Source organism: Homo sapiens, chromosome X, assembly GCF_000001405.40.
Source record: "Homo sapiens chromosome X, GRCh38.p14 Primary Assembly".
In the NCBI taxonomy this organism is placed as follows: domain Eukaryota; kingdom Metazoa; phylum Chordata; class Mammalia; order Primates; family Hominidae; genus Homo; species Homo sapiens.
In genome coordinates, this window is record NC_000023.11 from 63,517,486 (window position 1) to 63,529,612 (window position 12,127).

The 12,127-nt window shown below is 40.5% G+C and overlaps 1 long non-coding RNA gene across 6 annotated transcripts in view; it reads right to left on the reverse strand.

The window, feature by feature from the left end:
• The window catches only part of LINC01278 (long intergenic non-protein coding RNA 1278), a 134,538-nt gene that overhangs the window by 90,928 nt on the left and 31,483 nt on the right, over positions 1-12,127 (reverse strand). The gene's annotated exons all lie outside the window — the stretch shown is intronic.

The window sequence follows — 12,127 nt, forward strand, 5'->3', positions numbered from 1 at the left end:
AACAATATTTTCTTTCTGCCTCATGAATACTACCAAGGATGTATGGTCAAATTTCACCTTGTTTAATGGGAATCTTCCTCATATCATCTGATTCCTTTATAAATCCTCTTTAAGGTGCATATGCTTCCATTACATATCAGGAAACAGCTGCCAATTCTAGCTCAAAGGAATCCATTTAGAGTTATGTGAAAACAAAATGTATGAAGATTAAGTTTCCTCTGTATTAAATCTTGAGTGAACAAAAGCAAATATACTCTATTTTGCTAACACTCGCTATCCCTAAGTTCCAGACTCCCAAAGAAGAGATAGAGAATTTTAGAAGGAAACACACCATCACACACTTTTAATCCTAAATGTTGGCACAGTAGGTGGAAAACAAGGAGAATGTGTATCCAGAACCTCCAGCCCCTGGGTCATCTGTTTCCCTGCATGAGAGGGCAAGGGCCCCCCTAGCTGGAGTACAGCAGCCACACACCACTGCAATCAGGACACAAGGCTCTGTTAAAGTGACTGCCCCATTTTCTTAATCCAGTCTATCATTGTTGGACATTTGGGTTGGTTCCAAGTCTTTGCTATTGTGAATAATGCCGCAATAAACATACGTGTGCATGTGTCTTTATAGCAGCATGATTTATAGTCCTTTGGGTATATACCCAGTAATGGGATGGCTGGGTCAAATGGTATTTCTAGTTCTAGATCCCTGAGGAATTGCCACACTGACTTCCACAATGGTTGAACTAGTTTACAGTCCCACCAACAGTGTAAAAGTGTTCCTATTTCTCCACATCCTCTCCAGCACCTGTTGTTTCCTGACTTTTTAATGATCGCCATTCTAACTGGTGTGAGATGGTATCTCATTGTGGTTTTGATTTGCATTTCTCTGATGGCCAGTGATGACCAGCATTTTTTCATGTGTTTTTTGGCTGCATAAATGTCTTCTTTTGAGAAGTGTCTGTTCATGTCCTTCGCCCACTTTTTGATGGGGTTGTTTGTTTTTTTCTTGTCAATTTGTTTGAGTTCATTGTAGATTCTGGATATTAGCCCTTTGTCAGATGAGTAGGTTGAGAAAATTTTCTCCCACTTTGTAGGTTGCCTGTTCACTCTGTCGGTAGTTTCTGGAATACTATGCAGCCATAAAAAATGATGAGTTCATGTCCTTTGTAGGGACATGGATGAAATTCAAAATCATCATTCTCAGTAAACTATCGCAAGAACAAAAAACCAAACACCGCATATTCTCACTCATAGGTGGGAATTGAACAATGAGATCACATGGACACAGGAAGGGGAATATCACACTCTGGGGACTGTGGTGGGGTGGGGGGAGGGGGGAGGGATAGCATTGGGAGATATACCTAATGCTAGATGACGAGTTAGTGGGTGCAGCACACCAGCATGGCACATGTATACATATGTAACTAACCTGCACAATGTGCACATGTACCCTAAAACTTAAAGTATAATAAAAAATAATAATAATATTAATAACAAAAAAATAAAAAATAAAAAAAAAATAAAGTGACTGCCCCAATTTTAACTGAAGCACAGTGGCAGCTTACATTTCATCATTTAGGAAGAGATGTAGACCAAGGGAAGCAGGGAGCCAACAACTTTTACATATTTTCGGTGCTCATGTTAACAGTAAATTCAAGTACTTTAAAACATCCCTATGTCTACAGCTCCCAGCATGAGCAACGCAGAAGATGGGTGATTTCTGCATTTCCATCTGAGGTACCGGGTTCATCTCACTAGGGAGTGCCAGACAGTGGGTGCAGGACAGCGGGTGCAGCACACCATGCGCGAGCAGAGGCAGGGTGAGGCATTGCCTCCACTCGGGAAGTGCAAGGGGTCAGGGAGTTCCCTTTCCTACTCAAAGAAAGGGGTGACAGAGGGCACCTGGAAAATCGGGTCACCCCCACCCTAATACAGTGCTTTTCCGACGGGCTTAAAAAACGGCGCACCAGGAGATTCTATCCTGCACCTGGCTCGGAGGGTCCTATGCCCACGGAGTCTCGCTGATTGCTAGCACAGCAGTCTGAGATCAAACTGCAAGGCGGCAGTGAGGCTGGGGGAGGGGCGCCCGCCATTGCCCAGGCTTGCTTAGGTAAACAAAGCAGGCAGGAAGCTGCAACTGGGTGGAGCCCACCACAGCTCAAGGAGGCCTGCCTGCCTCTGTAGGCTCCACCTCTGGGGGCAGGGCACAGACAAACAAAAAGACAGCAGTAACCTCTGCAGACTTAAATGTCCCTGTCTGACAGCTTTGAAGACAGCAGTGGTTCTCCCAGCAAGCAGCTGGAGATCTGAGAATGGGCAGACTGCCTCCTCAAGTGGGACCCTGACCCCTGACCCCTGAGCAGCCTAACTGGGAGGCACCCCCCAGTAGGGGCAGACTGACACCTCACGCGGCCGGGTACTCCTCTGAGACAAAACATCCAGAGGAACGATCAGACAGCAGCATTAGCAGTTCACGAAAATCCGCTGTTCTGCAGCCACTGCTGCTGGTACCCAGGCAAACAGGGTCTGGAGTGGACCTCTAGCAAACTCCAACAGACCTGCAGCTGAGGGTCCTGTCTGTTAGAAGGAAAACTAACAAAGAGAAAGGACATCCACACCAAAAACCCATCTGTACACCACCATCATCAAAGACCAAAAGTAGATAAAACCACACAGATGGGAAAAAACAGAGCAGAAAAACTGGAAACTCTAAAAATCAGAGTACCTCTCCTCCTCCAAAGGAACGCAGCTCCTCACCAGTAACGGAACAAAGCTGGACGGAGAATGACTTTGACGAGTTGAGAGAAGAAGGCTTCAGACGATCAAACTACTCTGAGCTACAGGAGGAAATTCAAACCAAACGCAAATAAGCTGAAAACTTTGAAAAAAATTTAGACAAAAGTATAACAAGAATAACCAATACAGAGAAGTGCTTAAAGGAGCTGATGGAGCTGAAAGCCAAGGCTCGAGAACTACCTGAAGAATGCAGAAGCCTCAGGAGCCAATGCAATCAACTGGAAGAAAGGGTATCAGTGATGGAAGATCAAATGAATGAAATGAAGCAAGAAGGGAAGTTTAGACAAAAAAGAATAAAAAGAAAAGAACAGAGCCTCTAAGAAATATGGGACTATGTGAAAAGACCAAATCTACGTCTGATTGGTGTACCTGAAAGTGACGGAGAGAATGGAATCAAGCTGGAAAACACTCTGCAGGATAGTATCCAGGAGAACTTCCTCAATCTAGCAAGGCAGGCCAACATTCAGATTCAGGAAATACAGAGAACGCCACAAAGATACTCCTCGAGAAGAGCAACTCCAAGACACATAATTGTCAGATTCACCAAAGTTGAAATGAAGGAAAAAATGTTAAGGGCAGCCAGAGACAAAGGTCGGGTTACCCACAAAGGGAAGCCCATCAGACTAACAGAGGATCTCTCAGCAGAAACTCTACAAGCCAGAAGAGAGTGGGGGCCAATATTCAACATTCTTAAAGAAAAGAATTTTAAACCCAGAATTGCATATCCAGCCAAACTAAGCTTCATAAGTGAAGGAGAAATAAAATCCTTTACAGACAAGCAAATGCTGAGAGATTTTTGTCACCACCAGGCCTGCCCTAAAAGACCTCCTGAAGGAAGCACTAAACATAGAAAGGAACGACTGGTACCAGCCACTGCAAAATCATGCCAAATTGTAAAGACCATCGAGGCTAGGAAGAAACTTCATCAACTAACGAGCAAAATAACCAGCTAACATCATAATGACAGGATCAAATTCACACATAACAATATTAACTTTAAATGTAAATGGAATAAATGCTCCAACTAAAAGACACAGACTGGCAAATTGGATAAAGAGTCAAGACCCATCAGTGTGCTGTATTCAGGAAACCCATCTCACCTGCAGAGACACACATAGGCTCAAAATAAAAGGATGGAGGAAGATCTACCAAGCAAATGGAAAACAAAAAAAGGCAGGGATTGCAATCCTAGTCTCTGATGAAACAGACTTTAAACCAACAAAGATCAAAAGAGACAAACAAGGCCATTACATAATGGTAAAGGGATCAATTCAACAAGAAGAGCTAACTATCCTAAATATATATGCACCCAATACAGGAGCACCCAGATTCATAAAGCAAGTCCTTAGTGACCTACAAAGAGACTTAGACTCCCACACATTAATAATGGGAGACTTTAACACCCCACTGTCAACATTAGACAGATCAATGAGGCAGAAAGTTAACAAGGATACCCAGGAATTGAACTCAGCTCTGCACCAAGTGGACCTAATAGACATCTACAGAACTCTCCATTGCAAATCAACAGAATATACATTTTTTTCAGCACCACACCACACCTATTCCAAAATTGACCACATAGGTGGAAGTAAATCTCTCCTCAGCAAATGTAAAAGAACAGAAATTATAACAAACTGTCTCTCAGACCACAGTGAAATCAAACTAGAACTCAGGATTAAGAAACTCACTCAAAACCACTCAACTACATGGAAACTGAACAACCTGCTCCTGAATGACTACTGGGTACATAACGAAATGACGGCAGAAATAAAGATGTTCCTTGAAACCAACAAGAACAAAGACACAACATACCAGAATCTCTGGGACACGTTCAAAGCAGTGTGTAGAGGGAAATTTATAGCACTAAATGCCCACAAGAGAAAGCAGGAAAGATCCAAAATTGACACCCTAACATCACAATTAAAAGAACTAGAAAAGCAAGAGCAAACACATTCAAAACCTAGCAGAAGGCAAGAAATAAGTAAAATCAGAGCAGAACTGAAGGAAATAGAGACACAAAAAACTCTTCAAAAAATTAATGAATCCAGGAGCTGGTTTTTTGAAAGCATCAACAAAATTGATAGACCGCTAGCAAGACTAATAAAGAAGAAAAGAGAGAAGAATCAAATAGACACAATAAAAAATGATAAAGGGGATATCACCACTGATCCCACAGAAATACAAACTACCATCAGAGAATACTACAAACACCTCTACACAAATAAACTAGAAAATCTAGAAGAAATGAATAAATTCCTCGACACATACACCCTCCCAAGACTAAACCAGGAAGAAGTTGAATCTCTGAATAGAACAATAACAGGCTCTGAAATTGTGGCAATAATCAATAGCTTACCAACCAAAAAGAGTCCAGGACCAGATGGATTCACAGCCGAATTCTACCAGAGGTACAAGGAGGAACTGGTACCATTCCTTCTGAAACTATTCTAATCAATAGAAAAAGAGGGAATCCTCCCTAACTCATTTTATGAGGCCAGCATCATCCTGATAACAAAGCCGGGCAGAGACACAACCAAAAAAGAGAATTTTAGACCAATATCCTTGATGAACATTGATGCAAAAATCCTCAATAAAATACTGGCAAACCGAATCCAGCAGCATATCAAAAAGCTTATCCACCATGATCAAGTGGGCTTCATCCCTGGGATGCAAGGCTGTTTCAATATACGCAAATCAATAAACGTAATCCAGCATATAAACAGAACCAAAGACAAAAACCACATGATTATCTCAATAGATGAAGAAAAGGCCTTAGACAAAATTCAACAGCCCTTCATGCTAAAAACTCTCAATAAATTAGGTATTGATGGGACGTATCTCAAAATAATAAGAGCTATCTATGACAAACCCACAGCCAATATCATACTCAATGGGCAAAAACTGGAAGCATTCCCTTTGAAAACAGGCACAAGACAGGAATGCCCTCTCTCACCACTCTTATTCAACATAGTGTTGGAAGTTCTGGCCAGGGCAATCAGGCAGGGGAAGGAAATAAAGGGTATTCAATTAGGAAAAGAGGAAGTCAAATTGTCCCTGTTTGCAGATGACATGATTGCATATCTAGGAAAACCCCATCGTCTCAGTCCAAAATCTCCTTAAGCTGATAAGCAACTTCAGCAAAGTCTCAGGATACAAAATCAATGTACAAAAATCACAAGCATTCTTATACACCAACAACAGACAAACAGAGAGCCAAATCATGAGTGACCTCCCAGTCACAATTGCTTCAAAGAGAATAAAATACCTAGGAATCCAACTTACAAGGGACGTGAAGGACCTCTTCAAGGAGAACTACAAATCACTGCTCAATGAAATAAAAGAGGACACAAAGAAATGGAACAACATTCCCTGCTCATGGGTAGGAAGAATCAACATCGTGAAAATGGCCATACTGCCCAAGGTAATTTATAGATTCAATGCCATCCCCATCAAGCTACCAATGACTTTCTTCACAGAATTGGAAAAAACTACTTTAAAGTTCATATGGAACCAAAAAAGAGCCTGCATCGCCAAGTCAATCCTAAGCCAAAAGAACAAAGCTGGACGCATCACGCTACCTGACTTCAAACTATACTATGAGGCTACAGTAACCAAAACAGCATGGTACTGGTACCAAAACAGAGATATAGACCAATGGAACAGAACAGAGACCTCAGAAATAACGCCGCATATCTACAACTATCTGATCTTTGACAAACCTGACAAAAACAAGCAATGGGGAAAGGATTCCCTATTTAATAAATGGTGCTGGGAAAACTGGCTAGCCATATGTAGAAAGCTGAAACTGGATCCCTTCATTACACCTTATACTAAAATTAATTCAAGATGGATTAAAGATTTAAATGTTAGAACTAAAACCATAAAAACCCTAGAAGAAAACCTAGGCAATACCATTCAGGACATAGGCATGGGCAAGGACTTCATGTCTAAAACACCAAAAGCAATGGCAACAAAAGCCAAAATTGACAAATGGGATCTAATTAAACTAAAGAGCTTCTGCACAGCAAAATAAACTACCATCAGAGTGAACAGGAAACCTACAGAATGGGAGAAAATTTTTGCAGTCTACTCATCTGACAAAGGGCTAGTATACAGAATCTACAATGAACTCCAACAAATTTACAAGAAAAAAACAACCCCATCAAAAAGTGGGTGAAGGATATGAACAGACACTTCTCAAAAGAAGACATTTATGCAGCCAAAAGACACATGAAAAAATGCTCATCATCACTGGCCATCAGAGAAATGCAAATCAAAACTGCACTGAGATACCATCTCACACCAGTTAGAATGGTGATCATTAAAAACTCAGGAAACCACAGGTGTTGGAGCGGATGTGGAGAAATAGGAACATTTTTACACTGTTGGTGGGACTGTAAACTAGTTCCACCATTGTGGAAGTCAGTGTGGCGATTCCTCAGGGATCTAGAACTAGAAATACCATTTGACCCAGCCATCCCATTACTGGGTATATACCCAAAAGATTATAAATCATCCTGCTATAACGACACATGCACACGTATGTTTATTGCGGCACTATTCCCGATAGCAAAGACTTGGAACCAACCCAAATGTCCAACAATGATAGACTGGATTAAGAAAATGTGGCACATATACACCATGGAATACTATGCAGCCATAAAAAATGATGAGTTCATGTCCTTTGTAGGGACATGGATGAAGCTGGAAACCATCATTCTCAGCAAACTATTGCAAGGACGAAAAACCAAACACCGCATGTTCTCACTCATAGATGGGAATTGAACAATGAGAACACATGGACACAGGAAGGGGAACATCATACACTGGGGCCTGTTGTGGGGTGTGGGGAGTGGGGAGGGATAGCATTAGGAGATATACCTAATGTTAATTGACAAGTTAATGGGTGCAGCACACCAACATGGCACATGTATATATATGTAACAAACCCGCACGTTGTGCACATGTACCCTAAAACTTAAAGTATATTAAAAAAAAAAAACCATAACTACCGTTAAAATAAAAAAAAAAAGAGAAAGTCACTTAGCTTCTCTGGTTACATTTTTTCACATCCGCAAAATTAGTAGAGTAAAATTAGATAGTAATTTTATGGGACTTCGTAGTTTTAATAATCTGTGACGCTCAGACCAGTTTTTCCTAGACCAAATCACAAGAATGCTCATAAAAGCCTTTCGTTGCCTGGAGTTTTGTTGGTAGGCCAGGCTATAATTTAAAAGTTTAATCTGCTTAATAATTTAAGCAATTAAAGTGCATGAACATGTAGTGCTTGGGGCAGGAACACCTGCACTCTCTGACACTCACAACTCTGTGACCATAGCTGAGAAACGGAAATTAAATGACAAAGAAAACCTCTGTGAAACCAAATAGCTCCAGCGTTAAGACCCACAGAATGTACTCAAAAGAGAGCTCTTAGACTAGTCATAAAAACTGGAGTTAATCATGCTTAACGAGTTCTACTAATTAGGTAACTGCTGCCTGAAACACAGAGCAGTGTTAAGAAGAAATTTTGAGATCTTAAGTGGACTCTATGAGAATAGAAACTATGATAAATTGTCATTGTTTGCCATGGACAAGAGCAGACCTATGGTAGCAAATGTGCTCTATATCTTTACATGGAACTTAGTCTTAATTCACAAATAATTCTAGCAAGTTTAATGATTTAATCTGTTAGCATGTAGCAGAATAGAAACCATAATTTAGAAAGTTGGGAGAGGGGTTGCTAAAGTGGGCTCACTAAAAGCTGTGAAAGGCTGCAGCACAAAGCAAGGATACAAACATGATAATTTGTTTTTTCCTTTAAGTTGTAGGATACATGTGCAGAATGTGCAGGTTTGTTACATAGGTTATGTGTGTCATGGTGGTTTGCTGCACTTATCAACCTGTCATCTAGGCTTTAAGCCCTGCATGCATTAGCTATTTGTCCTAATGGTCTCCCTCTCCTGAGCCACCACCCTCCTTACAGGCCCCAGTGTGTGTTGTTCCCCTCCTTGTGTCCATGTGTTCTCATTGTTCAACTTCCACTTATGAGTGAAAACATGAGGTGTTTGTTTTTTTGTTCCTGTGTTAGTTTGCTGAGGGTGATGGCTTCCAGCTTCATCCATGTTCCTGCAAAGGACATGATCTCATTCCTTTTTATGGCTGCATAGTATTCAATGGTGTATATGTACCACAATTTCTTTATCTAGTCTATCATTGATGAGCATTTGGATTGGTTCCATGTCTTTGCTATTGTAAATAGTGCTGCAATAAACATACATGTGCAAAACATAGTAATTATTATAGTCATAGATCAAAGTCACAGAATTGTAACAAACTAGGGACCATCATGTAAGACACATTGGTCCTACAAACCATAGTAAGCTAGGCCTAAAAATGTCAGTCTATTACAATTCAGTTTGATAAGTGATACATATACTGGCGACCCAATGCATATATCAGGACAAAGGTACAGTTATTTTCACTATGTCCTGATAAATAACATCCAAAATCCTGAACCTGATATATTAGGCCTAATTCATCCTCTTCTCCAGATGCCTGTAATCTAAAATCCAGCTATATAAATGCCTTGTTGTTTACAAAATATGGCATTGTTTCTCTCAACTCAGGGCTTTTCAAATATTATTTCTTCTGCCTGTGACATCCTCATTTTAGTTACTAAATCGTAGCTATCCTTCATAACCCAGCTCTAATGGTTGACACCTCTAAGATACATTTCCTGGCACTATTCTGTCACTTCACCACACCCCAGGATACCACACTTCATCCAAGTGTAAGATTATACCTCTTGCCCTCTGCTTCCCTGGCAACCTGTTCAAACCTCAATTGTAGCACCTATAACCTGGTACTGGATGTCTGCTCTTTCTTTCTACATTATTAGCTTATTCAGATTACTCATATTTCTCTTCAGTGCCTAGCCAGCCCAAGATGCTGTATTTCTTAGATAAATTAAAATTTAAAATATCCACAAGGCTTAGAGATTTTCAAGATTTTCTAATATTTAGAAATTTGCCAATATATAAATGACTTGCTATTCAGAGCTTAGCCTGCTGGCCTGTTCAGGATGGCTCAATGAAACTTCCACTAGGTAGTATTTTGCTAAAATTTTTTTCCAATCACTCAAGACTGTTAAAACTTTCTGTACTAAAAAGCATTGTAAGATGCACTTGTACTAATCTGAGCATTTCACAATTGTTCTAAATTGTGGAATTATAATTTAAAGGCAAAATGCATAAATACTTTTTCATTTGTTCAGTCCAAAAATACTTACTGAGTCTCTGTCATGAGTCAGACACTATGCTTGGCCCTAAAGATAGAGTGATCAGAAAGATGGTCATCCATCCTGTCCTCATAAAGATTACCAAGTATTTGCTTTCTCTGTGTACTGAAAAGAATTAACAAAACAATTCTTTCAATATAAAATAGCAAAAAAAAAAAAAACCCTCGAAATACAGTAATGGCACTATTCTAAATTTAAATAGCTCGTTGCCTTTGATAGAATGCTACAAATACCAAAAGGACAATACTATCAGGTGAGTATTACTGGTCCAATTCTGTAGACAATGAAATTGAGGTCATGAAATGTTAAATAACCTGGCAAACATCATAAAGCTGGAAGATGGTGGAGAGTGGACTCAAACCCAGAATTATGTGGGTTCAAGGCCTATTCACATTCCCAATTCTCATGGCCCATTAATAGTTACATGGAAAAAACACTGGGCCATGTATATGTATTAACGTAATGTAATATTTGTAAAGGTGTTTTAAACTTTTTAATTTCTTATTGATACATAACATTTGTACATATTTATGAGGTACATGTGATTTTTTTATATGTATATAATGTGTAATGATCAAGTCAAGGTGTTTGAGGTATCCATCACCTCAAGTATTTATTATCTATATGTATTGGGAAAATTTCCAGTCCTGTCTCCTAGCTATTTTGAAATATACATTGTTGTTAACTATAGTCACACTACTTTACTAAATTGATCTCAAGGAGGTAGAGATTAGAATGATAGATACCAAAGGCTAGGAAGTATGTATGGGTGAGGGGACAGTGAAGAGATGTAGAAATATACAGTTAGATCTTTGTAAAGATTTTTATGTCGTTGATAGTTTCCTTAGAACTTGGTTTAATCTTTACTAATTTACACGTAAAAGATTATAAATAATTAATTTGTTAGAGATACATATTTGCTAAGGCATACAGCTGTTCATACAATTTTTATAAATACATATCTAACAACAGAAAAGAAGGCGGCACAAAATGGCAAAATAAAAGGCTCCACTAATCATCCCTGCTGCAAGGACACCAACTTAACAACCATCTACACATACACACAAAAAAACACCTTCATAGAAAACAAAATTCAGGTGAGTACTCAGAGTACCTGGTGTTAACTTCATATTGCTGAAGGACGCACTGAAGAGATAGAAAAAACAGCCCTGAATCACCGATGCCCACCCTCCCCTACCCCCCAGCAGCAGCTGCATGGTGCAGAGAGCTTCCTGGGGTCGGGGAGAAAGAACACAGCAATTGTGAGGCATTGAACTCAGTGCTGTCCTTTAGAGCAGAAAGGAAAATTGGAACAAACTCAGCTGATGCCCGCACATGCAGGGAGCATTTAAACCAGCCCTAGCCAAAGGGAAATCACCAATCCTAGTGATCAGAACTTGAGTTCCCACAAACCTCGCCACCAAGGCCTACAGTGCTCTGTGTCTCCAAGTAAACTTGAAGGGCATTCTAGGCCATAAGGACTGAAACTCTTAAGAGAGAGCTATTACTGAACTTGGCCCAAAGACAGTGGACTGGAGTAGCTCATGAAATACTGAGACACCAGCTGGGGCAGCCAATGGAGTGCTGGCATCACTCCTTCCCTACCCCAGGCTGCACTGCTCATGGCTCCAAAAAAGACCCTTTCCTCTTGCTTGAGGAGAGGAGAGGCATGAGTAGGAAGGGCTTTGTTTTGCATCTTGGGCACCAGCTCAGCCACAGCAGGATAGGGTACCAATAAGAGTAGGGAGTCCCCCGTTCCAGGCTGTAGCTCCCAGATGACATTTCTAGACATTTCTGGGCCAGAAGGGATCCTGCTGTCTTGAAGGAAAACACTCAGTTCTGGGACCATTCATCACCTGCTAACTGAAGGGCCCTTGGGCCCTAAATAATTAGCAGTGATACCTAGGTACTATGTTGAGGACCTTGGTGAGCCTCTGAGACTTGCTGGCTTTGGGAGGGACTCAGCACATAACCAGCTGTGGTGGCTATGGGGCAAAATCCCTTCTGCTAGAGAAAAGCAGAGAGAAAAAGGGACTTATT